The sequence below is a fragment of the Homo sapiens genome, chromosome 18 (genome assembly GCF_000001405.40).
Source record: "Homo sapiens chromosome 18, GRCh38.p14 Primary Assembly".
In the NCBI taxonomy this organism is placed as follows: Eukaryota; Metazoa; Chordata; class Mammalia; order Primates; family Hominidae; genus Homo; species Homo sapiens.
In genome coordinates, this window is record NC_000018.10 from 11,880,540 (window position 1) to 11,908,391 (window position 27,852).

Here is a 27,852-nt window from a genome sequence, read left to right on the forward strand (position 1 = left end):
ACTCCAGCCTGGGCAACAGAGCTAGACTCAGTCTCAAAAATATATAAATAAACAAACAAAATAAAATTAGCTAATTAGAAATCAGCCCCTTGGTGGTATCAGCTAGATAGCGACTATCATATTGGCAGGGCAGATAGTGGACATTCCCATTGTCACAGAAAACTCTGTTCAGACCTTCCTTTTTGGAAGCTCCTCCCTTGACTTGCCTGCCGGGGCTTTCTCTGACCTATCCGTGCTGCTTCAGCCTCCTGGGGGCAATGATAAGGGTGAGGTTATCTGGGTCCTCGGCCGATGCTTGCATTGAGACCATTCCTGCCTCTAAGTGCTCCCATGCAAAACAAGCAGGCCACTGTCACCAAAGCCTCCAGCACCTGCTCAGCGTGGCCTAGTCCTTCCCCAGAGTACATGCTGGGGCCGCGCAGGGCTAGTGCACACGCTCTCTCTTGCAGAGGATCAGCACGGCCACCGGTGACGGCAAACATTACTGCTACCCGCACTTCACCTGCGCCGTGGACACAGAGAACATCCGCAGGGTGTTCAACGACTGCCGCGACATCATCCAGCGGATGCACCTCAAGCAGTATGAGCTCTTGTGAGGATGCTGCCGCCACCCTGCGACGGAGCGGCGCCCCGGACTGCCTGACTGCCAGCCCCATGCCATGGTAGGAGGCAGAGTCTCTAGTTCCATCTCGCTGCCGTCTGTCCCGTTCTGTGTCGACCACCAAGCCTCTGGCTACCTCTGTCCCCTCAGGTTTGGTTGTGTAGCTTCTGTTGTCATTGAATACGGCCTCCCGCAGCATCCCACCCCCAAACCACCGACTCTCATTGCCGACACTGCAGCAGAATCTCTCCGGGTGGGAGCCCCATTATTCATTCTCCCTTTATTGATTCATCGAGGAGAACTTGGTAGATGGGGAGAAAACACAGTTGGTTTTTTTTTCCACGTTATCAACCGTGACTGCAAGAGCGTTCGTGCAGTGCCCTGAGCCACGGCCGTCTCTGATTCTCCCTTTATGAAGCTGCAGGCTGACGAGAGATGGTCCCTTCCCATTGGCCTTAGCCCAAGACTTGGAGTCGACCCCAAGCGACAGAGTGACCAGAAACCCTTTTACAGTCACATTCAGAGTCGCTGCTGGCCTCAGGCATTTGAATTAGAGCTACTTTGAGCCTCTTAGGCAGAAAACCTACCACATTCACTACTGCAAAATGTGTCCTGTCTAAAAATGATTCTCTAAACTTTCCCTATACTTAGGCATAGTCTTCTTTCTTAGATTCTCTTTGTTGTTGTCCCTATTGCTGGTTTATTACACTGTACAGACCACAAAATGTAATATTCTTTTGTATAACTACTAAAGAAAAATCCTTGTAGATCTTTGTGCCTTCACCATGGCTATCTATACCTGTACATGAAATGTGTTTGTATTGTGCTGAAGAGCTTAATGTCAACATTACCTGCTGCTTACTCTGAAAAAAGGAATGAATGGTAGCTGTAGAATTTAGGATATTTTATCAGGTTGGCACTTTATAAAATACTCCCTGATTTAAAAAATTGTAAGTTATACACGTTAATCATCCACATTCTATCGACAATGTACCAACATCACAAGCTGTTGCAACCACCTGCTGTTACTTCTCTGAGCTGTAAAAACCTGAACTCAATTCAGGGGTACAAATTGCAATCTAATCTTTTCAGGGAACCAGGGATTTTTTTCTCTCTCTCTAGACAATATGTTTCCTCATTAGTCTGCTAATGAAACACTTCTTCAAGTTCCCCAAGTGGGAACAGGTCCATCATTCCCTTAGTCAAAACTTTGGACACAGGCTACGTCATACAAGTAAGCAAACAGTAAGAGAAAAACAAAATGTGGCCAGGCGCGGTGGCTCACGCCTGTAATCCCAGCACTTTGGGAGGCCGAGGCAGGCGGATCACGAGGCCAGGAGATCAAGACCATCCTGGCTAACATGGCGAAACCCTGTCTCTACCAAAAATACAAAAATTAGCCAGGCGTGGTGGCGGGCACCTGTAATCTCAGCTACTCGAGAGGCTGAGGCAGGAGAATCTCTTGAACCTGGGAGGTGGAGATTGCAGTGAGCCGAGGTCGTGCCATCGCACTCCAGCCTGGACATCAAAGTGAGACTCAGGCCAAAAAAAAAAAAAAAAAAAACCTTGACGTGTCAATGTTTGTGTCTGGCCTAGGAGAATGAGGATGACAGCTTCACTTGCCTTTTGAAGAAGAAACATTACAAAACCTTAATCTGAAGTATAAAGTCAAAAGATACGGCTCTTTCTCACACTTGCAAGACTTACAAATACAGCCTCAAACATTATGACACACCAACAATATCTAGAAAGTAAGAACTGGTGTAGCAATGATGCTTCATATTCTAGCTGTAGCCACAGAGTTGAGGGTAGTTTTTGTAGGTCTAAAATAATAATCTATAAAGATGTCCAAAGTTAAATTTTCAACAATACAAATCTAGAGAAGTGACAGCCTACATTACTTCATTATTACTCTTCTTTTAGTCTTTAGTCTTTAATATTTTAAAGTTTACTCTATAAATCAGCATTTTGTAATCCTTTATAAACTCATCCAGATTTAAATGCTACTTTTTCATGAAGAAAGGATAACTTTATAGACAGTCAGTGCAACACACACATTTTATCTCATCACCGTCTTACTGCCTCCCCATCCACTGTCTCATAAAGCCCTCAGCTGAACTAAGATAAATAATACAATGGAAATTATTTTCAGTTCCCCTTGCACTGTCAAAGTAAAACAAGAAAACTGAAAAGCTGCACCCCCAGCAAGAAAGGGAAGTATGCTGTTGTATGCATCATTACTCAACAATTACCCTCTAACTAAACATCCTGTTTAAGAGTTTAATTCAAACAACAGCCAGACTGTTAAGAAAAAAAACAAAAAGAATAACTTTTATCTGGCTTACAATTATTAAAGCATTTATTTTCAGGTACCAAAAGCCATATCCCATTCCACTTTTTAAGTTTCTTTTGATCACTGACAGGCATTAACAGATGTAGCAACGTGGTCTCCTATAGAGAAAATTACACTTATCTAAAAATCTGATTCCATTAATTGATCAAGTATAAAAATCTACGAAAACAATATGTTCTGCACATCACATCTGTACTTTTTTTTTTTTAAATATATTTTTTGAGACGGAGTCTCACTCTGTTGCCCAGGCTGGAGTGCAGTGGCATGATCTTGGCTCACTGCAACCTCCGCCTCCCGGGCTCAAGGGATTCTCCTGCCTCAGCCTCAGCTGGTATTATAGGCACTTGCTACCATGCTTGGCTAATTTTTGTATTTCTAGCGGAGACGAGGTTTCACCATGTTGGCCAGGCTGGTCTTGAACTCCTGACCTCAAGTGATCCACCCGCCTCAGCCTCCCAAAGTGCTGGGATTACAGGTGTGAGCCACTGTGCCCGGCCACATCTGTACTTTTAAGGGTACAGCTTTACAGTACATAGGAATTTGAGAACCACTTCACAGGAAGAGGGAAACAGCCCAATATTTATTTATGTATACACATAATCCCAAGTGTGTGCTGGGGCCACCAGGCCCTTCCTGGGGGAACAAGGACTGTCGTGCATGTGAGTGACGACATTAATAGCATTTACATACTGTACAGATGCAACCTTTGATGATACATATATTTGATAAAAATGAGAAAACAGATTTGTTGTAGAGTACCTGTCCACTTTTATAGCATGAGAACAGTACAATCAACTATTTATTTTGCAGTTACTCATTTCAGTGATTGAGAATTTCTGTGCTGTGCAGAGAGACGGCCTGTAATTGGTCTCATCATCCACTTGATTCTAACATGATCTCTGCCCAAAGTTCCATTTCTTGGGCTTTGATATTTATAATGGCGCCTGCTCTTCATCTTGTCTTACGCTTTCCGAGCAAGTTCAAACCAGAAAGAAAAGGTGAGGCTAGAAGCCCAAAGTGAGTGAGTGTGAGGACCACAAGGAAGCCCACCACTCCACAGTAGATGATCAAAACCACATCCTCACGTGGGAGGTAGCACTTGGAGAGGGTGTAGTCTGTGGGCGTGATGCTACCCTGGAAAGGAGAAGGGAAAGTTATGCTGAGAGCACCAGGCACACGTTGAACACCGCAGTCTTAGAAACAGCAGAGGGAAGACTGCCTTCTCAGGTCCCCCTCAGGTGAGGCAGGGAACGGGCCCTCCTCACCTGAGACCAAGGGGGCCCAGCCTTCTCCCTGCACAGCTCACCCCCGACCAGCCCAGGCTCCAGCAGGAGAGACAAGTAAGGCCCAAGTGTGCCTGAGTGGAAAATGTCTGGGACACTGACCTGTCAAAACTGGCCCCTGGCTCACTGGGTTCCCATCAAATATAGTGGGGGATCCATAACAGAGATTCAGAGAGGCACCGTGGAGTTCCAGGGTCATCGGTCAGCGAGGAACAAGGAGGGAAAGGTGTCTTCCTGCCCCTTGATGCTCAACTAAGCATCTGTTCCCTAGAAATACATGTGTCCAGGTCGTCTCCATGGGCTTTTCTTTGCAGATACTTTTATGTGGAACAACAGTGGCAAATGTTTTCATTTACTTTGAATTTGAAAATGTTAGGGTTTCCTCCACCTTTTTATGAAGTAAAAGAACCTGTCGTACCAGCATCATGAGCTGGATGCAGGAGCCCATGGCTGAAAGGAGTTAAAACGCCCAGTGGTCATTAAGTGAAACATCTTTTATCAACCTGCAAAAGCTGCAGCGTTCTCTGCCAGGTCAAATGGGCATGTTTAGAAAATAAGAGAAGATGGCTGAGTATAGCTAATGAATAAATGGTTGTTTCTTTAGAAAATTAAACACACACAGAGTGTAAGAGGAGAGGATACGGCCCTCCCTGAAGGATAAAGTCCACCTGGACGGTGCCCTGCCCTCGCTTCTCACATTAACTGCCCAGGAATGTCATGCTGATTGGTTCCCGGAAGGGTGTTTGGCAAGGGGCAGTGTATGGAGCTACGTGTAGAAGGAGAGAAATTTGTGTGTGGCTTTTGTAAATTTTGACCGATTGCAGCAATTAAATAGTTGATTACTGTGTTGATTTAAATACTTATGAAAGCTTTCAGACAAAAATAAACTTTCACGTTACCATGATGAAACTGGGGTTGTTTCTGTTCCTCCAACTGAAAGATGGGACGCTGAGCTCGGGGACTCGGCCCCCGTGGTGCACCTCGCAGGCGCTGTGCGTGTGGCCACTGAGAACCAGGCGCGGCTGGAGCCACCACAGCAGCTGACAGTGGCCGAGAAGACAGCAAAGCAGGCTGTTAGCTCATCCTCAACCAGGCTCTCACCGCTCAGCAGACGGCCGCTGGCCATCGCTTCTTTCCTTAAATTACATACTAAATCCTTATTTTGAAGGACTGGTTTATTTTTTTCCTTAAAAATCCTTTGGTTTATTTACACTAAATCAAAGGTAAGGTCAGCCCTTTGTTCTCATCCCAGATTTTATATACTTTTTACGGTATTTTATCTTTATAAATATTTTATACATTTATCTTATAAATATTTCTTATATTTATATATTATGTATAATGTAATATGTATTATATAAATCTATATAAGAAAATGCATTTTAATTTTAATTAAGTCCCTAAAAAATTGACTTTTCAGTTCCATTCACATTTCTAAATACATTTAAGTTGGTGAAAAACTCTGAATACAAAGAATAGCTGAGACTATTACTGACTTGAGGGTAGGAAACAGAAGTAGGTTTACTGGAAAAAAAAAAAGCGATTAAATGAAAATCTGAGATACTGTGAAAGCCAGGCCTCCACCCCTGTCCCCCCAGGTGATAACTAAGTCATGAACGTTTCAGCAAACACCTGCTCTAGCCTGGGCACTCTGCTTGTTGACATGCAAGGTGATGAGAGTCACACTGTGACATGAATTAGCATCACGACACCCTGGCAAACCTTTTGTGATGCCTCCCGTGAAAGCACGTCATAGTTCTCCTTAAATGGGATGTCCCTTTCCTCTGCAGGAGCAGCGTCTTCCCCAGAACAGTTAGCATCACTTCTCCGATACAGAGGATAATGCTGTCCGGGGTGGAGAGAGGAGTTCAGGCGGCTATCGTGAAACCACAGGCTGCCTGCTGTCTGCCATGAGCCCTTTCCTCCCCCAGCTCACCTGCAGGAGGACAGGGGCAGACGTGGGCAGCAGAGGCCCAGGTCCACACCGGCTGGAGCCACGTGCCTGCTGGGTACAAGTCAGGCCATTAATCCGCACACCTGACCCTCATCAAAGGGCAAGAAGCGCTAGGGGGCTGAGTGAGCAACCGAAGCGGAGCAACACGGGACAGAAGGCACCTGTGGCATTCAGATGCTCTCCTACCTCTCGGGAGCAGTTCAGTCTGTGAGAAACTTCAATGAGCTCTGCTTCTGTTTCAGAGCAGATGCCACAGCCATCCCCGTTCAGCGCCACGCTGTTGACCATCACAAAGCTGAAGCGGAGGGAAACGCAGGTGAGGCCGCTGGGGGTATCAGTGCTTTCTTTTCCCTACTGTTCCCATGAAAAGAAAGCTAAGCATCCAGTGCAAAGAAACAAGCCCAGAGCAGCTTTCAATCCCACCCAGAATAATTTGGTGTATTTTTAAATATGAGTCAATATTAACAAAAATAGCATTACTGGGAGTTCTGTCTAAGACACGATCGAAGGGTTTTTGACCCTAAACTTGTGAGAAATCCCAGATTACAGAAGCTCTGCAGTTAGACTATGTCTAAGCTCATCCTCCAACCAGAACCTCATCTGTTACAGCGCCTCTTCCATGCAGGGCTAAGAACCCTATGCCCACCCCATCAGCTGGTTGTGAGGATTCAATGAAATGACATGGCAGGTGTTTAGAACACAGCCTGCCACTAGAAAGTACTCAGTACGTGTCAGATATTGTGACTAACAGGTAGAGGGAACCACAGAGTGCATCAGTGACATACAGACACACACAGCAAGTAAGGCAGAGGGTAGGGTGCCGGTTAGAGCTAACTGGGTATGGATAATCCCAAACTAGGGTAATAACAAAGTCCATTGTGGTTAGACTCAGCAGCCACATTTTTTTAAAGACTCCCACTAAATACGGTTTTATCTCCTACATGCATACCATCTTGGAATGACGAAAGTACCTGTCAGTAAAGACTGCTTGAAATTTAACTCGTTTTAGAGATAAGGAGTGGAGTTATCAAGTGATCAGCAGTATGATAAGCTGTTTGAAGTGTCTTAAACACACACTTAGAGGGAAATAATTCAAACTGTATCATGCTTCTATTATGAGTCAGCAGAGAAAGCCACCTACTAGAGACTCTGCCTTCCTGGCAGAGGGAAAGGTGAGCATTGGTGGTGAAGCCACTGGACAGAAATGACCTCACCTGCAGACCTGCTGTGTCCAAGGTCAACAGAGTGCTGGGCACCCACAGGAAGGACAAGATTAAAAGAGAAAAGGCTTCCACTCCCACCTGTTTTCTCCACCGCGTCTATAATCAGTATAGAGTATAGAGTCCTGTCCACTGTGCTGCAGCCACATACACAGCCCAGAAAGGATGTAGAGATGGGCACTGAGGTGGCCTCGCAGAGCGGGAGCTGCTCATGGTCAGGCTAAGGGTCAGGATGCTCTGGTCTAAAAGCCCAGGCCAATGGAGATGGGTGGCACAGAGCTACAGAGGAACTGTGACACACTTGCCACCAAATCCCATAGTAGTTATGACACCATAACTACGAGAACAGTCTTTGTAACGTGAAATTAGTATATTTTGATCAAATAAAGACTCTTTTACAAAGTGGGCTGATGAAATTTGTGCTACCCAGAGACAGTGCAGACAGAAAGACTATCATTCCCACAGTGGCTGGGCAGAGTCATAAACTGACCGATTCATTATGGGGTTGTCAAGGAAAACCAGGGTGGTTTGAGGTTTCCCATCTATCGGCTCCCATGGTGAGCACCAGCAAGGACAGCCTAAGGCACTGCTGTTTAAAGATCATAAACCAGGCTAAACAGAACGCAGGTAGATGATAGATCCCAGTATGGCAGGCACCTTTAAAAAATGAAGTTTCCAAGGACTAAAGGTCTTGGAAGAATTTACAAATAATACTCACTTAATGCCTTTCCAAGAAAACAGTCTTTCAGAGCTGAACACTTTCTCAAAGCGTTCTACTTTGTATGTGTTCATCCTATATTCAATTGTGAGAAGAAACATTTTTCAGGACAAGCCATTTTAGAAACTCCTAGAGTCATCATGAACACAAAATAACTTTCAACACTTGAGTTTCAGACTAGCATTATTAGTTAAGGGCTCTACCTGGCCCCAGGATAGCAAAGCTCAAATTTTAGTTCCACTACTTACTATGAAGCCTGGGGCAAGTTACTCAGCTGCCCAGGGCCTCAGATTCCACATTGGTACCGTAGGTAAAACAACAGGACCATGGTAAAGATTAATGTGTTAATATATGGAAGTAAAGTACTTGAAACAGATGGCACATTATAAGCACTAGAGCACTATATAAATGTTAGCTATTAAAGTCTAAATGATCTTGGTTTTTCGTTCCCAAAGACAATAATTGGCCATTAAATGTACATTTCAAGTTAGATGTTTCCCAAGGGCACATACAATTCATTCATTCCACAGATATTTGTTGAGGGTGTACTATGCACCAAGTAAAAACCCCTTAAAGAGTTTAATATCCCAGAGCTCACATCTTTTGAAGAAAACAAATTTCAAGACAGCACAAATAGGGCTTTCACCTGAATTCCAACAGATTTAGAATTACAGTTAACAAGAGCTCTCAGGGTGCAGGGCTTTTGTGAACTACTTACTCATAATGGAAGCCAATGTCATGGTTTCCAGCAACTACCTTCAGCTGTACATGACTTGGGTGTCTGAACATTTTCTGAAACCGCTCCACATCATCCGCCCAGGCCTGAGGGAAAAAGAATCACTGCTGAGAGCCAGAGAACCATCTCTGCCCTGTGGCTAAAAAAACAGGATCCCTATTTTGTTTTGCTTTTTTTTGAGACGAGTCTGGCTCTGTCTCCAGGCTGAAGTGCAGTGGTGCGATCTCTGCTCACTGCAACCTCCATCTCCCACATTCAAGCGATTCTCCTGCCTCAGCCTCTGGAGTAGCTGGGATTACAGGCACATGCCACCATGCCCGGCTAACTTATTTTGTGTGTGTGTATTTTTAGTAGAGACAGGGTTTCACCATGTTAGCCAGGATTGTCTCGATCTCCTGACCTCGTGATCCGCCCGCCTCAGCCTCCCAAAGTGCTGGGATTACAGGTATGAGCCAACGCACCCAGCCAATGATCCCTATTTTGATGTGAGAAGTGAATGAATTCCCCTGTTCAAATCAGATGCCCATAAAGATGATGTAGAACTTTTTTTTTTTTTGAGATGGAGTCTCGCTCTGTTGCCCAGGCTGGAGTGCAGTGGCACGATCTCGGCTCACTGCAAGCTCTGCCTCCGGGGTTCACGCCATTCTCCTGCCTCAGCCTCCTGAGTAGCTGGAACTACAGGCGCCCGCCACCACGCCCGACTAATTTTTTGTATTTTTAGTAGAGACGGGGTTTCACTGTGTTAGCCAGGATGGTCGCGATCTCCTGACCTCATGATCCGCCCGCCTCGGCCTCCCAAAGTGCTGGGATTACAGGCGTGAGCCACCACACTTGGCCATAATATGTCTTTTTTAAAATTACAATTAATACTTACTGTTATTTAATTTGATGCCAAGTTTTTGTTTTATTTTGTTGTTTTTTTGAGACAGGGTCTCACTATGTCACCCAGGATGGAGTGCAGTGGCCATGATCTTGGCTCACTGGAACCTCTGCCTCCAGTGTTCAAGTGATTCTTATGCCTCAGTCACCTGAGTAGCTGGGATTACAGGCGTGTACCACCATGCCCAGCTAATTTTTGTATTTTTAGTAGACACAGGGTTTCGCCATGTTGGCCAGGCTGGTCTCGAACTCCTCACCTCAAGTGATCCACCTGCCTCAGCCTCCCAAAGTGCTAGGATTACAGGCATAAGCCACCAAGCTCAGCCTAATGCCAAATTTTTAAATGGTATCCTCTCCCATCTTAAAACAATAACTGGCAATCCCAAAAAATATTTGGTTCATACACCTATTATTTCAAGATCCCCTGAAGACCATTCATAGACCCTGGTGGAGAAATGCTTCAGATCTGGGCATGCTATAAGAACAGGCTCTGACAAAATGTCCAGTAAGTTCTTCATGTGTCTCAACTAAGACAAGGATGAGAACATCTTTAAAGGTGGCATTCCCCTATGGCTACAACTGTGGAAACCAGAACTAATGAGATGTGGGAGAAAGAAAGACAAAAAATACTTATTGTAAAAAATTTTTCAAAATTATTCTGATACTTGCTTTAACTATTAAAACTTCAGAGTTATGTTAGTGTAGTTCTTATTTTATAAAGCTAAAAATATCAATTGTACAAACACCCTAGGGTAGGGAAAAAAAACAAAAAAAACCTCTATTCTAGATAGTAACCAACTTTATCCTAAATGTTGTAAATCTGGCAAAACTTAAGGAAATATGCTGGATAGAGTCCTTGAATACATTTACAAAGATTCCACTTTAACAAATAACATTTAAAGTTAGATGGCTAGGTGCGGTGCCTCACGCCTATAATCCCAGCACTTTGGGAGGCTGAAGCAGGCGGATCACTTGAAGTCAGGAGTTTGAGACCAGCCTGGCCAACATGATGAAACCTGTCTCTACTAAAAATACAAAAATTAGCTGGGTGTGGTGGCGGGTGCCTGTAATCCCAACTACTCGAGGAGGCTGAGGCAGGAGAATCACTTGAACCAGGGAGGCAGAGGTTGTAGTAAGCTGAGATCACGCCACTGCACTCCAGACTTGGTGACAGAGCAAGACACCAGCTGAAAAAAATAAAAAAATATAAAGTTAGAGTAACATAAAATCAGAATAACAGACATAGAAAAACATAAAATGTTGCCCTTAATTTGGAAAAGCAACATATCTATCCAACCTCATTTTGTAACTAGTTGTTTTTACATATAACATTTCCACTATCTCACATTTAATTATAGCCTAGATAATAACAAACATTGCAACTCTGTAAACTGGTTCCTATCAACTCTGAAACAAGACTTCTCTTGTGCAGCTATTGAATTGTCCTAGGAAATGCCAGTAAGGTTTTTTGGATTTTTGTTGTGGGGTTTTTTTTGTTTTGTTTTGTTTTTGTTTGGGTTGTTTGTCTTCCTTGATTTTTATCTTGATTTTTTGAGACAGCGTCTCACTCTGTCACCCAGGATGGAATGCAGTGGTGCACAGCTGACTGTGGCCTTGACCTCCCAGGCTCAAGCGATCCTCCCACTTCAGCCTCCTGAGTAGCGGCGTGCACCATCACGCCTGGCTGATTTTTGTATTTTTTGTAGAAACAGCACTAAGTTGCCCAGGCTGGTTTTGAATTCCTGGGCTCAAACGATCCTCCTGCCTTGGACTAGGTCTGGCGCAGCGGCTCACGCCTATAATCCCAGCACTTTGGGAGGCCAAGGTGGGCAGATTGCCTGAGCTCAGGAGTTCGAGACCAGCCTGGGCAACACAGTGAAACCCCATCTCTACTAAAATACAAAAAATTATCAGGGCATGGTGGTGTGTGCCTGTAATCTCAGCTACTCGAGAGGTTGAGGAGGGAGAATCGCTTGAACCCAGAAGGCGGAGGTTGCAGTGAGCCAAAATCACACCACTGCACTGCAGCCTGGGTGACAGAGTGAGACTCCATCCCCCATAGCACCAAAAAGAAAAAAAAAAAAAAAAGAAAAAGAAAAAGAAAGGGCAGGCACGGTGGCTCATGCCCGTAATCCCAGCACATTGGGAGGCCGAGGTGGGCAGATCACCTGAGGTCAGGAGTTTGAGACCAGCCTGACCAACATGGAGAAACCCTGTCCCTACTAAAAATACAAAATTAGCCGGGCGTGGTGACACAGGAAATGCCTGTAATCCTAGCACACAGGAGGCTGAGGCAGGACAATCGCTTGAACCTGGGAGGCAGAGGTTGCAGTGAGCTGAGATTGCGCCATTGCACTCCAGCCTGGGCAACGAGTGAAACTCCATCTCAAAAAAAAAAAAAAAATCCTCCTGCCTTGGCCTTCCAAAGTGCTGGTACTACGGGCATGTGATGAAGTTTTTTATACTATACCCCAAATTGAAGATTTTCCAAAAACCATTAGTGACTGAACATTTTTAAGCAGCAAGAACAGCTCATGTCTTCATTCGTTTTGTTCCAAGGATATAATAAGCAAAACACTGTGACAACTAAGGTGAGAACAGCTTTTCTCTTTGGTTTGTGGAAAGTCTTATATTACCCCAATACCCAGGCAGGGGTCTCAGCCCCCTCTGAAAGCAGAGGATCCTCACATCAAGTCCCCAGCGCTCCTTCTGCATCTCTCATTCAGAAAAAAGAAAATCAGAGGAGAATAGCAAGTCTCTTTTGCAGCACGATTCTCATAATGTCATGGTTCAATAAGAGTGTGAAATTAAATGTACATTTCAATATGTATTTTGCAATTTCGGTGACAACTGAAATAACATCTATCTTGCCCGTTTCTCCCTTTCCCAAGAGGTTCACAAAACAGTGTATTCCAACTAAATGATATCTGGCTAATCGACATATTTCCTACATAGACAAATGTTTACAATTAGCCAACCTAACTCAAGATTGAGTTGTTCTAATAATCTTAGATAGCCTATGAATTCTAATCATCTTCCAAATAGCCTACGCATTTTTAATATCAGTAGTAAGTACAACTTCCATAAAATCTCCAGCTCAAGCTGACACTGATTCGTGGATTCTCTGGGATACTTGTGCTGGACCTCACAGCAGGATGAGGGCACCTGGAACACAGAGTCCTACCTCAGGGGTGCTCCACTTCCCTTCATCAAAGATATCCCCCAGGATGAAGACGACTTCCGGCTGCAGCAACCACAGAGCTGTCTGGAACGCTCTCTCCATCTGCCATTCCCTTGATGCCAATAGGAAAAAGTAAGGCATCAGTCTCTTTCCTAGGTGGAGGCTACTTCTGTATTATGCACCATTTAAACAGCAAACTAAATGGTTCCACTCTCCTTCTTCCAGAGCCCCACTCTTGCATTCCCATCCCTGGCTTGAAGGGCCAAAGAGTCCATATCTGATTAAAGGTGGGGAATTAAGTATCAGAGAAGAGTCCGGCCATCCCTTCCACACACCCCAGACACTGTGGTGTGCAGGAACAGGCCCCACTCTGCACCCTGCAGCCATCACTCGGTCAAGACAGCAACTGGGATCTGAGAGAGCCTAATGCAGCTTCCAAAGATGCTCAATGTAGACTGATTTTGTACCACACAGAGGAGATTATTGTATCTAGCTTAATTTTAGCTTCTTATTAAAGGGACTTCAACTTCCTTCTTTGCTTCCAAGTTGGAGGGGAGATGACAAGAGAAATAGGCTAGCTAATATCAAAACAGGAACCAATATCAAAACAGGAAATCCTGGAGATTTCAGACATGCGAGTAATCCTCCCAGAGGTAAGACAAGCAAATGAAAAGAGCCTGGAGGCTGGGTATGGTGGCTCATGCCTGTAATCCCAGCACTTTGGGAGGCCGAGGTGGGCAGATCATAAAGTTAGGAGTTCAAGAGCAGCCTGGCCAATATCATGAAACCCTGTCTCTACTAAAAATACAAAAAACCAGCCATGCATGGTGGCATGCGCCTGTGGTACCAGCTACTTGGGAGGCTGAGGCAGGAGAATTGCTTGAACCCAGGAGGCGGAGGTTGCAGTAAGCTGAGATCATGACACTGCACTCACTCCAGCCTGGGTGACAGAGCGAGACTCCATCTCAAAAAAAAAAAAAAAAAAAAAAAACAGCCTGGGATCTGCAATCTGACAGATGATGGCTTAACATCCCAGCTCAATCCATTGAAAAGCTGTGAGGCTTTGAAAAAATTGCCTATTCTGATGCCCAGTGTCTTCATTGGTAAATGGCGATTTTATTTTATTTTATTTATTTATTTTTTGAGATGCAGTTTCGCTCTTGTTGCCCAGGCTGGAGTACAATGGTGTGATCTCGGCTCAATGCGACCTCTGCCTCCCCGTTTCAAATGATTCTTCCGCCTCAGCCTCCCAAGTAGCTGGGATTACAGGCATGTGCCACCACACCCAGCTAATTTTGTATATTTAGTAGAGACGGGGTTTCTCCATGTTGGTCAGGCTGGTCTCGAACTCCTGACCTCTGGTGATCCACCCGCCTCAGCCTCCCAAAAGTGCTGGGATTACAGGCATGAGCCACCACACCCGGCCGGCCGGTAAATGGGGATTTTAAACCCTACTTGCACAGGATAGTTACAGGGTTAAATAAGACAGCATTTGTAAAGCATGGCACAGGCACACAGCAGGTGCTCAAAAATGTCAGTGTTTGCTCAGCCCTCCCCGTCTTCAACCTAACCAAATCCAGCCTATGTCATTTTTCTAAGGAATCCAAACCTTTCCTCCTTTTTAAGGCATTTTCCTGGCTGCTCCTCCTCTACAAAAGGGAAATGCTATGTCCTGGGATATATAAATAGGGGAAAGTAGGCTGGGTGCAGTGACTCACACCTGTAATTTCAATGCTTTGGGAGGCCAAGGAGGGAGGATCACTTGAGGCCAGGAGTTCAAAACCAGCATGGGCAACACAGCAAAACTCCATCTCTACAAAAAAGTAAAAATTAGCTGGGCGTAGTGGCACAAGCCTGTTGTCCTAGCTACTTGGGAGACTGCAGTGAGCTATGATCCTACTACTGCCCTCCAGCCTGGGCAACAGAGCTAGACCCCATTTTAATCAGTCAATGTAATTTCTGGTCAGAGGAAGATTTTTAGATCCCAAGTGAACTGAATGGTACACATCACCCCTGAAAGGCTTTTTACCCAAGATCTCTCTCAAAATACATTTCTCCGTTTTTCTTATTTTATTTTACTTTTTTTTTTTTAGAGACAGGCTCTTGCTCTGTCGCCCAGGCTGGACTGCAGTGCCATGGTCATAGCTCACTGGAGGCTCAAACTCTGGTGCTCAAAGTAGCTCAAGCGATCCTCCTGCCTCAGCCTGCTGAGTCACTAGGACTACAAGCGGGCATAAAGAGCAAAAATTAGCTATTTTTGGTTTTTGTTTATTGTTTTTTTGTAGAAATGAGGTCTTGCCACGTTGCCCAGGCTGGTCTCAAATTCCTGGCCTCAAGCAGTTCTTCACCTCCACCTCCTAAAGTGCTGGGATTACAGGCGTGAAGCACTGCACCCAGCTTCTCAGTCTCTCTTGATTTAATGTTATTCACCATGGGAAGTAAAAATCTAGAAACAGCAGCAGGAAGAAGGTACAGAAGGCTACTTGGCGAGACCAGACATCAATCAGGATCAATTTGTAAGACCAAGACACTGCAGGCCCCCCACCGGCCCTTCTTGAGCTCATGCCTCCTTTGGTTAAAACTCTTAGTAAAAAGGTATAGCTGCTCTTTCATTATTCTTATTCTTTATTCTTTTTTTTTTTTTTTTTTTTTTTTGAGATGGAATCTTGCTCTGTTGCCCAGGCTGGAGTGCAGTGGTGCAATCTCAGCTCACTGCAACCTCTGCCTCCCAGGTTTAAGCGATTCTCCTGCCTCTGCCTCCGGAGTAGCTGAGATTACAGGCGCCCGCCATCATGCTCAGCTAATTTTTCTATTTTTAGTAGAGATGGAGTTGCACCATGTTGGCCAGGCTGGTCTTGAACTCCTGACCTCAGGTGATCCACCTGCCTTGGCCTCCCAAAGTGCTGGGATTACAGGCGTGAGCCAGTGCACCTGGCCTAAAAATAATTTGTTTAAAAAGCTTCCTGGTGAAAAAAACAATGGACCATGCAGGGGCAGGTGTGAGTTGGAAAGATAGGACCTGATCCTTCCCCAGGGTGACAGCCACAAATCTGCTCTGCTCCTCTGCTGCCTAGAGGAGGCTGAAACCCAATAGGCTCAAAGTTACACAGCAATGAAGGTGAGATGGGACCACCAACCCACATCTGTGTCCTCCCCTGCCCAGGGGACCAGTCCCAGGCACCAGGCATTGTGTAGCATCTTGTTGTCATTGCGTGGCACATCTTGTGATGTTTCTTGTCTTAATCCAGTTACAAACAAGGAGGCAGGGGCTCAGAGGGGCCCTAACAACTTGTCCAAAGTCACAAAGCGATGTGGCCCAGATCTGACTCCCAAATTATGGGGCCCTGTATATATCCTCAGTAAATGGTAAATTCAAGGAAAAGTCAAATGTCCCTAAATGTCCTCCTTTGAGAGGAAAATAACTAAGAGTAACCTAAAGCCATAAGCCTTGCCTATGAGGAGAGGGCTATACCGTTTTGCCTACAGAATTTTAGAAAGATTCCTGATTTTACCTCTTACCTTCGTAATTTGTCCAGCCAGTGGCCTAGGAATTCCCCAAGCAAATGGGTGTCAGCCAAAAACATGGCTTTGAGCACAGGCTCACGTGTGGTCTGTTCACCATCAGAGGCTGTGGTTTTCACTTCAGGCCAATTACACTGAAAGATCGCTAAGTAATAGATTAAAAATTCACAAAATAGAAGCACAGCAAAGACAACAGCTATGAGTTTCAACAGCAATGAACTCTTCCTCTTTAATGGATGAAAATTCTGTCTTCCAAACCCCAATTCGATCATCGCCATTTCTCAAGCAACAACAAATCCATCAAGGGTTCACCACGAGAAAACTGCAGAGCCCTGGGGAGGGTGATGGCATTCAGGTCTTAGCTGGGCACCTACGGGAAAAGGAAAAGAATTCAGTTATGTTCCCTAATAATACAGGTATCACGACCTCCCTCTATTAAGAACTAATGAGTTACATAATCCTATCTACATTTCCAAATTAATCGTCTTATACTTTTACAATAATAATATGCCAGATTACTAATAAGGAAAACAACTGACCTCTCTGACTCCTTCAAGCTCTCCATACCTCCGTATGTCAGAATAAAGCTATTAGAATGCTTTTCTCACCAAGATGATAAAGTTTCATTAATATTCTAGAAATCATCAAATGGGAATCCATGAGAATGATGTGTGTCAAGGTAGGAGACATAATGGGAAAATTCAGTATTATTTAAGTGTAATTTTGACTCCCAGGATTCCCCACCACCCCTCCTTGACCTTAAAAATCAACAGGTCACAAGCCGCCTGTAATGTGTTGCTTTTGGTGTTAATTCATCACTTTTCTACTCTGCTTTTCCACAAAATAAGTGAATATTCATGGACAATGTGCTTCAAAGATCCAAGGAATTCATTCCACATTGGACCCAGAGGCCAGGATCTGACAGTGAAACCACCTTTGCAAAATTATAACAGTAACAGAAATCTGACATAGTTGACTCCATCTTGTTTCTGACTGCCAAGATGTCCTTGGTCATTCCTGGATATAGGCCAAGCTAACTTTGGGAGAAATTTGGTTTATAGGTTTTTGTTTGTTTGTTTTGTTTTGTTTTGTTTTGTTTTTGAAATGGGGTCTCCCCTGTCACCCAGGCTGGAGTGCAGTGGTGTGATCTGGGCTCACTGCAACCTCCGCCTCCTGGGTTCAAGTGATTCTCATGCCTCGGCCTCCCAAGTAGCTGGGATTGCAGGCACTCGTCACCACGTCCAGCTAATTTTTGTATTTTTTTTAGCAGAGACGGTTTTTCGCCATGTTGGCCAGGCTAGTCTCAAACTCCTGACCTCAAATGAACCACCTGCCTCAACCTCCCAAAGTGCTGGGATTACAGGCGTGAGCCACTTTGCCAGGCCAGTTTATAGTTTAACTTTGAAGCAAGGATGATGATAATAGTCTACTCCCTGTTCTGAGGCTGAAACCACCTTTGAAAACTAATGAAAGGTATCGAGATTAGGATTAGGGGAGGGGCTTGAATTCTGCTGAATGTAGTTTCTATAATCCCTAAATGCTCAGGAGTCATGAGGCCAGAGGTAACAAAGATTTGTGACTTCCTTCAATTTCTCCTATAAATAACATCACTATTGTAGATCCTAAGATTGGTCTTTTGACATATTTTTCAGACTTTCGGGCAACTGATTTACCCTACCTGACTGACCCTGCTGGGACCCATATTTCATGGCTCAACTGATCCTATGACCCCACCCAGAAGTGGACTCAGCACACAAGGACTGTTTTCCACATCCCTATGATTTCATTCCCAACCAATCAACAACTCCTATTCCCCAGCTCCCTGCCCACAAAATTGTCCATAAAAACCCTAACTTCTGAGATTCAGAGAAACTGATTTGAGTAATAATTCCATCTCTCAGTGGCCAGCCTTCATTAATTAAACTTTTTTTTTTTTTCTGAGACAGAATCTCACTCTGTCACCCAGGCTGGAGTGCAATGGCACAATGTCAGCTCACTGCAACCTCTGCCTCCCAGGTTCAAGTGATTCTCATGCCTCAGCCTCCCGAGTAGCTGGGATTACAGGTGTGTGCCACCACGCCCAGCTAATTTTGTTTTTTTGTATTTTTAGTAGAGATGGGGTGTTGCCATGCTGCCCAGGCTAGTCTTGAACTCCTGAGCTCAAGTGATTCACCCGCCTCAGCTTCCCAAAGTGCTAGGATTACAGGCATGAGCCACCGTGCCCAGCCCAGCCCAAACTACTTATTTACTGCAGTACCATAGTCTCAGTGAATGGTTTTGTCTGTGCAGTGGGCAGGAAGAACCTGTGGGTGATTGCAACAGAGCCACCATCTGTGAATATGAATATTGAGTACTGCAACCAGATTATATGTTTTCACAAAAATGGGTTTCCCCCTGCAAATGTGCCTTAAAACTCTGGATGGCCTTCTTTTATAAGCTATTTATGTATAGTGGCTTCTGTAAGGGAACCTTCAAAATTTTTATGGATTCATCCCAAATCTTGGATGAGCTTTGCATCCTGTAAAGAAAGCATCTATTTTGGAGACCTCTGAAGAGAAAAGTTGGTAAAAGGCTGCCCTGAGATAGGCTATAAATGGTGGCATTCTACTTCCAGGTTCTTCAACTGCGCTCAAGATGAGCATCTGAGAAGGGCGGTGACCTTCCCAGGGAGGGTATAGGGAGTTCAGATGTCAGAGAAGCCCCAGAAGTCTTACGGGGTGGGAGCTTTGGGAGACACTGACCAGAGACCCTAACTGAACCAATAAAAAAATAAAGTCCCTTTCTAGGAAGATGATTTTCTAACATGAATCTAGGAACTTCATGTCACACGTAGGCATGGAGTCAAGAACCACCTCATTTCCCCAGGGTCTAAAATCACCTCTGTGAAATGCATCCTCAGAACTCTACATTTGCATAGGGAAATTAAGAATAACCCCCATTCCTGGCTGGGTGCAGTGGCTCACCCCTGTAATCCCAGCAGTTTGGGAGGCCGAGGCGGGTGGATCACCTGACATCAGGAGTTCGAGACCAGCCTGGCCCACATGGTGAAACCCTGTCTCTACTAAAAATACAAAAATTAGGCTGGGCACAGTGGCTCAAGCCTGTAATCCAGCACTTTGGGAGGCCAAGGTGGGCGGATCACCTGAGGTCAGGAGTTCGAGACTAGCCTGGCCAACCTGGCAAAACCCCATCTCTACTAAAAGTACAAAAATTAGCCAGGGTGATGGTGTGCACCTGTAATCCTAGCTACTCAGGAGGCTGAGGGCAAGAGAATCTCTTGAACCTGGGAGGCGGAGGTTGCAGTGGGCCAAGATCACGCCATTGCACTGCAGCCTCGGTGACAGAGAAAGACTCCGTCTCAAAAAAAAAATTAGCTGGGCGTGGTGGTGGGCGTCTGTAGTCCCATCTACGCGGGAGGCTGAGGCAGAAGAATCACTTAAACCCAGGACCTGGAGGTTGCAGTGAGCTGAGATCATGCCATTGCACTCCAGACTGGGTAACAAGAGCAAAACTCCATCTCAAAAAAATAAAATAAAATAACCCCCATTCCCTATAAGAGTCCCTAGCTTGTTTTACACTGGTGTCTATAAGCAACCATTAAGATGTGGAAAACCTTTAAACCTTACCTAAAGAAAAATAAGCCAGGCACAGTGGCTCACACCTGTAATCCCAGCACTTTGGGAGGCCAAGGTGGGCAGATCACGAGGTCAGGAGATCGAGACCATCCTGGCTAACACGGTGAAACCCCATCTCTACTAAAAATACAAAAAATTAGCCAGGCGTGGTGGCAGACGCCTGTAGTCCCAGCTACTCGGGAGGATGAGGCAGGAGAATGGCGTGAACCCAGGAGGCAAAGCCTGCAGTGAGCCGAGATTGCGCCACTGCACTCCAGCCTGGGCGACAGAGCAAGACTCCGTCTCATTAAAAAAAAAAAAAAAGTAAGAGAAAAAGAAAAATAAATAGGTGTGAAAATGTACTTTGAGCCATTATCAAAAGTTTAAAACCTAACGGAAAAATTGGCAATACCTTCAGAAACTGATAAATGAAGAAATCTTCTCATAAGTATTCTAATGGAGCATTGGCAATGGGTATGTGGTACTATTAAGTATTCATTACTATTTCTGGCTTTTCAGAAGATGAAAGGGTAGGCAATGGTGAAATGGACGGCCCTTCCATTGGGGACTGTCATTCCTCTGTTTCATTAGAATGGCATTACCTATATTAACTCTTGATTTATTTATTTATTTATTTTTATTTTTTTGAGACAGAGTTTCTCTCCCATCACCCAGGCTGGAGTGCAGTGGTGTGCTCTCAGCTCACTACAACCTCCACCTCCTGGGCTCAAGCAATCCTCCTACCTGAGCCTCCCAAGTAGCTGAGACTACAGATGTGTACCACCACACCCAGTTAATTTTCATATTATTAGTAGAGATGGAGTTTCACCACATTGGCCAGACTGGTATCGAACTCCTGGCCTCAGGTGATCCACCCGCCTCGGCCTCCCAAAGTACTAGGATTACAGGCGTGAGCCACTGTGCCCAGACTAAGTACTTAATTTAAAAGGGAACAGCTGGCCTGGCACAGTGGCTCACAGCCGTAATCCCAGCACTTTGGGAGGCCAAGGCAGGTGGATCACCTGAGGTCAGGAGTTCAAGACCAACCTGGCCAATGTGGTGAAACCTCATCTCCACTAAATACAAAAATTAGGCAGGTGTGGTGGTGCATGCCTGTAATCCCAGCTACTAGGGAGGCTGAGGCAGGAGAATCGCTTGAATCCAGGAGGTGGAGGTTGCAGTGAGCCGAGATCGTGCCACTGCACTCCACCCTGGGCAACAGAGTGAGACTCCATCTCAAAATAAATAAATAAAGGGGGAACGGCAAACAAATACTGGATTTTAACTATGTCCTTTCAGACAGAGAGGTCAAAAGCAGCCTTGCATATCATCTGGAGTCAACTGCTCTTGCTGAAATTCTCCTCCAAAACCCCACAACATCTTTATCAGCTGGTCAAGCTGTACTTTATCTTCTTCACTTAGAACTTTTGTCACCTCTCTTTTCTCTAAGGCAAACCACACATGCCGCATAATCGCAGTCACAACATACCTTTATCTTCCAACTGGGGACAGCTTTGAGTGAAAAATATCACTAATAAAAATTAAAACAGGGCAATGGTGTAAACCAGGACTGTCCCAGACAACTCAGGATGTGCAGCCACCCTGTGCTGCCTGTGCTTACTCTGACATAGAGGAGAAGCAGCAGTGCCTGTTTGCAGTCACCCACCTCATCTGTAAGAAACTTCGGAATGGACTGCACAAGTGGCAGGAACCATGCACCAGTATGGTGAAGGGCCTGGGTTCTCTGCTGGAGAGCCTCTGAGGGATAAATAACAGGTTCCTTAACGCCAGGCAATTTCCTTTGTTGTGATTAAATCAAATATGTCAAAGGCAGCCATTCGATCTTACTATCTCATTTTTCTTTCAAAAGGCCTAGAATCTCCTAAAATCCTAAAAGCTAAACCCAAAACCATAGCTGAAACTTTCTAACACCTTATGTTTCCTCCAGCTGTACAGAACTAGTTGAGAGGGAAGGAATGCTGACCTTCTGGGGCAGGCTGAGGAGTCTTCCAGTATGCAAACCCTTGCTGTTTGGTAGGTTTCTGGTTTCCCAAGATGAAATACCAGAATGACACCTTGATAATTCCTCTTCTACACCCCCTTCTCTTCATCAGAGTGAGCCTTGTTTGAGCAGTTATGACTAAGAGGCGCAAAAAGCATCAGTGAGTGGTGAGCAGGCTGGAGACAAGGCTGGCTGACAGCCCAAAGTGAGGCTCAGGGCAGGATAGGATGCAAAACTGCAGTCCTCCAGCTTCCCTGGATGAAGAGAGCAGGACAGAGGACATAGAGACAGCCTGTGGGTTTGCACTTCCAGGCAACCTGGGCTCTCCCTGCCCCAACTCCCCACTGAGCTCACTCAGCATGGCCTCTTACTCCTTGCAGATAAGCGACCTTACTGCAAACAAACCGGGTTAGAGGGGAGTTCTGGCGCTTCCCTCAAACTTCTGTGTTCTTGTTACAGATAGGCAGGCATGAGCGGGGCAGGTGAGGGCTCTTCCCACCTACCAGGAATGTCAGGTGATCACCAGGTGCCCATTCAACAGTTAACATATTGCCTCTCTAAAAACGATCATTTAGCAGCCAGCGCCAAGGAGAGACAATCTCCTGAGGGTCCACAGCTGCCACATTAAAGTGTTAATTAAATGCAGATGCCAGAGAGGGGCAACTTCCTGGGCATACACATCAGGAGACAAAATGGCAGAGTATGACCTTCTGGGGGCACTCCACAGGAAAAAGAAAGCCACAGATGGGCATGCGTACAACTTCCTAAACACACTGCTCATGCTCACCTCCCAAGCTTAAGAAGGGCACTGTGCATGCAGGCAGCCCACCCTAAGGGATGAATCATGGAGAAGGGAGGGGTGCAAGACGCCAGAAGTGGGTCAGCCTATAAAGTCCTAGGATTACGGTTAAACACTGCACTTGGCTGGGCACGGTGGCTCACGCCTGTAATCCCAGCACTTTGGGAGGCCGAGGCGGGCGGATCACAAGGTTAGGAGATCGAGACCATCCTGGCTAACACAGTGAAACCCCATCTCTACTAAAAATACAAAAAATTAGCCGGGCGTGGTTGCAGGTGCCTATAGTCCCAGCTACTCAGGAGGCTGAGGCAGGAGAATGGCGTGAACCCAGGAGGCGGAGCTTGCAGTGAACCGAGATCGCGCCATTGCACTCCAGCCTGGGGGACAGAGCGAGACTCCGTCTCAAAAAAACAAAAAAACAAAAACAAAAACAAAAAACACTGCACTTGACCTTCACATTGCCCTCTTGGGTCTCTTCCAAATGTACTTTTCTTTCTTTCCTGCTCTAAAGCTTTTTAATAACTTTCACTCCTGCTCAGAAACTTGCCTCAGTCTCTTTTTCTGCCTTATGCCCCTCAGTGGAATTATTTTTTTCTGAGCAGGCAAGAATTGAGGTTGCTGCAGATCTGTATGGATTTGCCACTTGTAAATCAAATACCTTCTACCCCTAACATTCTTTTTTCCAAAAATGAATTTAAAATATCCTACACAGAGCCATTCAACCAGAGGAAGACTTGGAAGGAAAGAAGGAAGGAGGACAGTAGAAAAGGAGAGAAGAGCAGAAGGGGATGGGGGAGCAAACAGGACAGAGAAAGAGAGCAAGCAAGCTGGCTGGCACTGTTACATATTTTCCTGAGAAGACCCTAATAACCATGTGAAGCAGCTATCTGGTATAACATAATCTTTTTTATTTATTTATTTATTTTTTTTTGAGACAAGGTCTCGCCCTGTCACCCACGCTGGAGTACAGTAGTGTGATCCCAGCTCAGTGCAACCTCCGCCTCCTGGACTCAAGCTATCCTCCCACTTCAGCCTCTGGAGCAGCTGGGATTACAGGTGAGTGTGTGCCACCACGCCCCACCAATTTTTGCATTTTTTGTAGAGACAGGGTTTCACCATGTCGCTTAGGCTGGTGGCAAACTCCTAGGCTCAAGTGATCCACTGGCCTCGGCCTCCCAAAATACTGGGATTACAGACATGAGCCACTGCGCCCAGCCCAACATGATCATTTTTTAAAAGATAAGAGTGGCTGTGCGGGGCATGGTGGCTCATGCCTGTAATCCCAGCACTTTGGGAGACAAAGGCAGGTGGACCATTTGAGGCCAGGAGTTCAAGACCAGCCTAGCCAACATGGTGAAACCCCATCTCTACTAAATATATTTAATACAAAAATTAGCCGGGTGTGGTTGAGTGAGCGTGTAATCTCAGCTACTTGGGAGGTTGAGGCACAAGAATCACTTGAACCCAGGAGGCGGAGGTTGCAGTGAGCCGAGATTTCACCATAGCACTCCAGCCTAGGCGACAGAGCGAGACTCCATCTCAAAAAAAAAGAAGAAAAAAAAAGATAACAGAACAAAAACCTATTTAGAAAACTTTTGACAGCAGATCCTTAAACAGAACACCTTCTGGGCAGGTGGCTCACACCCTGTAATCCCAGCACTTTGGGAGGTGGAGGCAGGGAGATCACTTGAGGCCAGGAGTTCAAGACCATCCTGGCCAACATGGCAAAACCCCGTCTCTACTAAAAATACAAAAATTAGCCTAGTGTAGTAGTGCACACCTGTAATCCCAGCTACTCAGGAGGCTGAGGCAGGAAAATCAGTTGAACCTGGGAGGCAGAGCTTGCAATGAGCAGAGATTGGGCCACTGCACTCCAGTCTGGGCGACAGAGGGAGACTGTCTCAAAACAAAACAAAACAAAACAAAAAAAAACAACAAAAAACACCTTTTGCTCAAATCTTGGGAAATTCCTTTTCTTCCTCTACCAAAGACTCATTGAATTAGCATTCCCAAGGTTGTCTTCAATGTTATGGCCAAAACATGCCCTCTTTTCCTACCTGAAATGAAGACAGAATAACTTGTAGGCCTGATAGGGTGGGGGAAGAGATTCCTTCTCTCCCCAGAAATGGCACCAGCATTAGGTAATGAGGCTTCACTCCTACCGGACGGCTTGCTTCCCAAGGGTATAAATTGACTTGTTTCACTCACTTGCTGGGCCAAACCTTACCCCAGCCTCCTCATTTTCTGCCTCCCCATTTTCTGACTCAGCTGAAGGAAACCTGCTGACCACCAGCACCTGGGAGCTCTGCAGACACCCCCACCCCGGTGAGCCCTACCTTTTTGTCAGGAAAGAGGAAACCGTGAGAGCTCTGTGAGGAGTTAGCCACTTGTTCCTTGGTGAGTATTTTATCTTGCATGCTGTGAATACCACCAGCAGAGAGGGCAGCTATGCTGAATTGGAAAGTAGCCAAATGGCAGCGCTGCTCTGTGACCTTGTGCCAGCCACTTACCCCTCCTGAACCTCACAACCCGCAGTGTCCACCTCAGTGCTTCTGTGAGGATAGAAAAAAAATCAGAGCCTAGTCCTCAGCCTTAAAATTCAAAATTTCTTAAAGTGTTACTGTTTTCACTCCCAAGTTCAATTTATCAGTCTTATTAAGATCATCAAACGATAACCCAGCAGGAACAGTGTACAGCTTCCACAAGACAGTTCAGGCTGGCCTAGGATGGAAAGGCAGAGATGCACCTCTCTGGTACCTCCAGACATATCCGTAAAATATGGAAGCTAGATTATATATTACCTATAATTTTCCAGGAAAATCACCAAGTCACCTCATCTTTTAAAGACAGAGAGATTGGTACGAGGCTCTAAGTTGGCATCTGCTCCCCAAAATCAGAATTCATTTATCTGAAATGAAACCAAAAATGTGTGTTTTGTCAGTGAGTGAGCTTTCATTTAGTTAACTATTAACAGGAAACCTGACCAACTTTGAAAGTAAAAAAGAAGCTGAGAAGCTAAAGAAACAAGACATTGGGTTAGTGGCCAAGAATACCTATCTTGAATTACAATATAAAATACCTGTATTTATATATAAATTATATAAAACATTTCTGCCCAACATGTGTGAATAATCACTGCAAGCCATAATTGGGAGCCAAATATTTTATCTTTAGGCTGGGCGCAGTGGCTCATGCCTGTAATCCCAGCACTTTGAGAGGCCGAGGTGGGTGATCACCTGAGGTCGGGAGTTCAAGACCAGCCTGACCAACATGGAGAAACCCCGTCTCTACTAAAAATACAAAATCAGCCAGGGTAGTGGCACATGCCTGTAATCCCAGCTACTCGGGAGGCTGAGGCAGGAGAATCGCTTGAATGCGGGAGGCGGAGGTTGTAGTGAGCCGAGATCGCGCCATTGCACTCCAGCCTGGGCAACAAGAGCGAAACTCCGTCTCAAAAAAAAAAAAAAAAAATTTATCTTTGAACTTTTCAATTTGTATTTATTTATTTATTTATTTTTAGAGATAGGGTCTCACTCCACCGCCCATTGTAAATCAAAAATGAAATCCTAAGACCCCTCAACCATCTGCATGGACCCCACCAAGGGCATTCCAGAGTTAACCTTGTTTTAGGTTGTTTTAAGCAAAACTTGTTTAGGCCATGATGGGAAGTGGGGGTGGAACTTGACACATTTCATCCTCCTCCCTTTTAGAATTCAGGAAAAGCAGACCAGCATTTAACATGCTGGACACTTAACTTACCTGGAGGCTTCATCTGCATGATAAAACTTCAGTCTCCACAGCCTCTTATTGTAACCCAAACATTCCTTTCCATTGATAATAAATCTTTCAACCAAATGCCAATCAGAAAATTTTCAATCTACCTATAACCCGGAAACCCCCGACCCACCCACCTCCTCAGCTGTCATACCTTTATGGACCGAACCAATGTACATCTTAATCTTACATGTATTTGACTGATGACTCATGGCTCCCCTAAAATGCATAAAACCACACTGGGCCCCGACCACCTTGCGTACGCGTTCTCAGGGTCTCCAAATGGCTGTGTCACCAGCCATGGTCACTCATATTTGGCTCAGAATTAATCCCTTCAAATATTTTATAGAGTTTTGACTTTTTGTCAACCGCAGGCTGCGTCACAGCTCGCTGCAGCCCCAAACTCCTGCGCTGAAGCGATCCTTTCCCCCACAACTTCTCGAGTAGCAGGGACTTCAGGTGCGTGCCACTACACCTGGCTTTTTTTTTTTTTTTTTTTGGTACTTTTGTTGTTATGGTGGGGGCGGGGGACTTGCTATGTTGCCCAGGCTGGTCTCGCATCTCTGGGATCAAGCCATCCTCCCACTTCAGCGTCCCAGAGTGCTGGAATTACAGGCCTAAGCAACGGCACCCAGCCTATCTTTTAATTTTTAACTTCAAAGTTATCGTTAAAAATCTAATCCCCCCAAAATATGAAAAAAATACTTAATATGCACTGACCTGTAGTTTTTCTCTAATTCACTATCTTAAATATATTAATTGCAATCTCATCAACTGCGACTTGCATTTGAAATTTTCCACCTTAAACGGTATTTTTTGATAAGATGGATTTTTTAAAAAATCTACACCAGCAAACTAGAGTGAGAGACCCCTGCAAAGTAATACATGGGCCTTAAGTCACCGAGATTTTCCAGCAAATAATTTGCAGAATGCTGTTTTTCCTAGGTTAACTTGCAATCCTAACACGGAAGGAGGTTCCGTTTTTAGAAGTTTAAATGTTGTCACACGGGCGCAAGAATACATACAACAGCCATGCTTTCCAGCTCTGCGCACAACGCCAGGCAGATGGGGAGCACCGGGCGGTGCGGGAGCCCTTTCACCAGGGCAGGGTGGCTTCGGTGGCCGAGGGACCCGGGAACTGCAGCCGGAGCCGGCGCGCACCCAGCCAACTTCCTGTTTCCGCGGTAGCGCGCGGGCCTGTCACTGAAGCCCCGCC

The 27,852-nt window shown here is 45.3% G+C and overlaps 2 protein-coding genes across 44 annotated transcripts in view; one reads left to right on the forward strand and one right to left on the reverse strand.

The window, feature by feature from the left end:
• The window catches only part of GNAL (G protein subunit alpha L), a 196,422-nt gene extending 191,276 nt beyond the window's left edge, over positions 1-5,146 (forward strand). For all 5 annotated transcript variants that reach the window (NM_182978.4, NM_001261443.2, NM_001142339.3 and 2 more), the window contains one exon: positions 450-5,146. In NM_182978.4, coding sequence (NP_892023.1) covers positions 450-596 — 147 coding nt within the window. In that variant the 3' untranslated portion in view covers positions 597-5,146. The remainder of the gene's footprint in view (positions 1-449) is intronic.
• Positions 2,083-27,778, reverse strand: MPPE1 (metallophosphoesterase 1). 39 transcript variants are annotated; one of them, XM_047437746.1, is made up of 14 exons: positions 27,662-27,778; positions 25,664-25,770; positions 25,199-25,414; positions 21,728-21,819; positions 16,987-17,081; positions 16,445-16,817; positions 12,929-13,037; positions 8,848-8,951; positions 8,130-8,204; positions 6,378-6,486; positions 6,174-6,239; positions 5,960-6,082; positions 5,137-5,277; positions 2,083-4,088 (listed from the first exon to the last, which is right to left on the reverse strand). In XM_047437746.1, the coding sequence occupies exons 6-14, from the start codon at positions 16,723-16,725 to the stop codon at positions 3,906-3,908; spliced, it is 1,191 nt and encodes a 396-aa protein (XP_047293702.1). In that variant the 5' UTR covers positions 16,726-16,817; positions 16,987-17,081; positions 21,728-21,819; positions 25,199-25,414; positions 25,664-25,770; positions 27,662-27,778; the 3' UTR covers positions 2,083-3,905. The 39 variants fall into 39 exon arrangements, 36 of the variants coding, with proteins under 36 accessions (XP_047293702.1, XP_047293701.1, XP_016881412.1 ...); XM_047437745.1 differs by having other exon boundaries at positions 6,174-6,242; XM_017025923.3 differs by lacking the exon at positions 21,728-21,819 and adding an exon at positions 22,046-22,317.
• Positions 27,779-27,852: the final 74 nt, after the last annotated feature.

What these genes read in the sequence shown, in the direction of transcription:
- MPPE1 (XM_006722345.5), bottom strand. Translation starts at nt 16,725, where the DNA reads ATGGCGATGATCGAATTGGGGTTTGGAAGACAGAATTTTCATCCATTA. An exon ending in GGAAGTGGAGCACCCCTGAG is followed by an intron (nt 8,952 to 12,928) that starts GTAGGACTCTGT and finishes TTTTTCCCTCAG; the next exon opens with GCCTGGGCGGATGATGTGGA. An exon ending in TTTTCTTGGAAAGGCATTAA is followed by an intron (nt 6,487 to 8,129) that starts GTGAGTATTATT and finishes CCTCCGCTTCAG; the next exon opens with CTTTGTGATGGTCAACAGCG.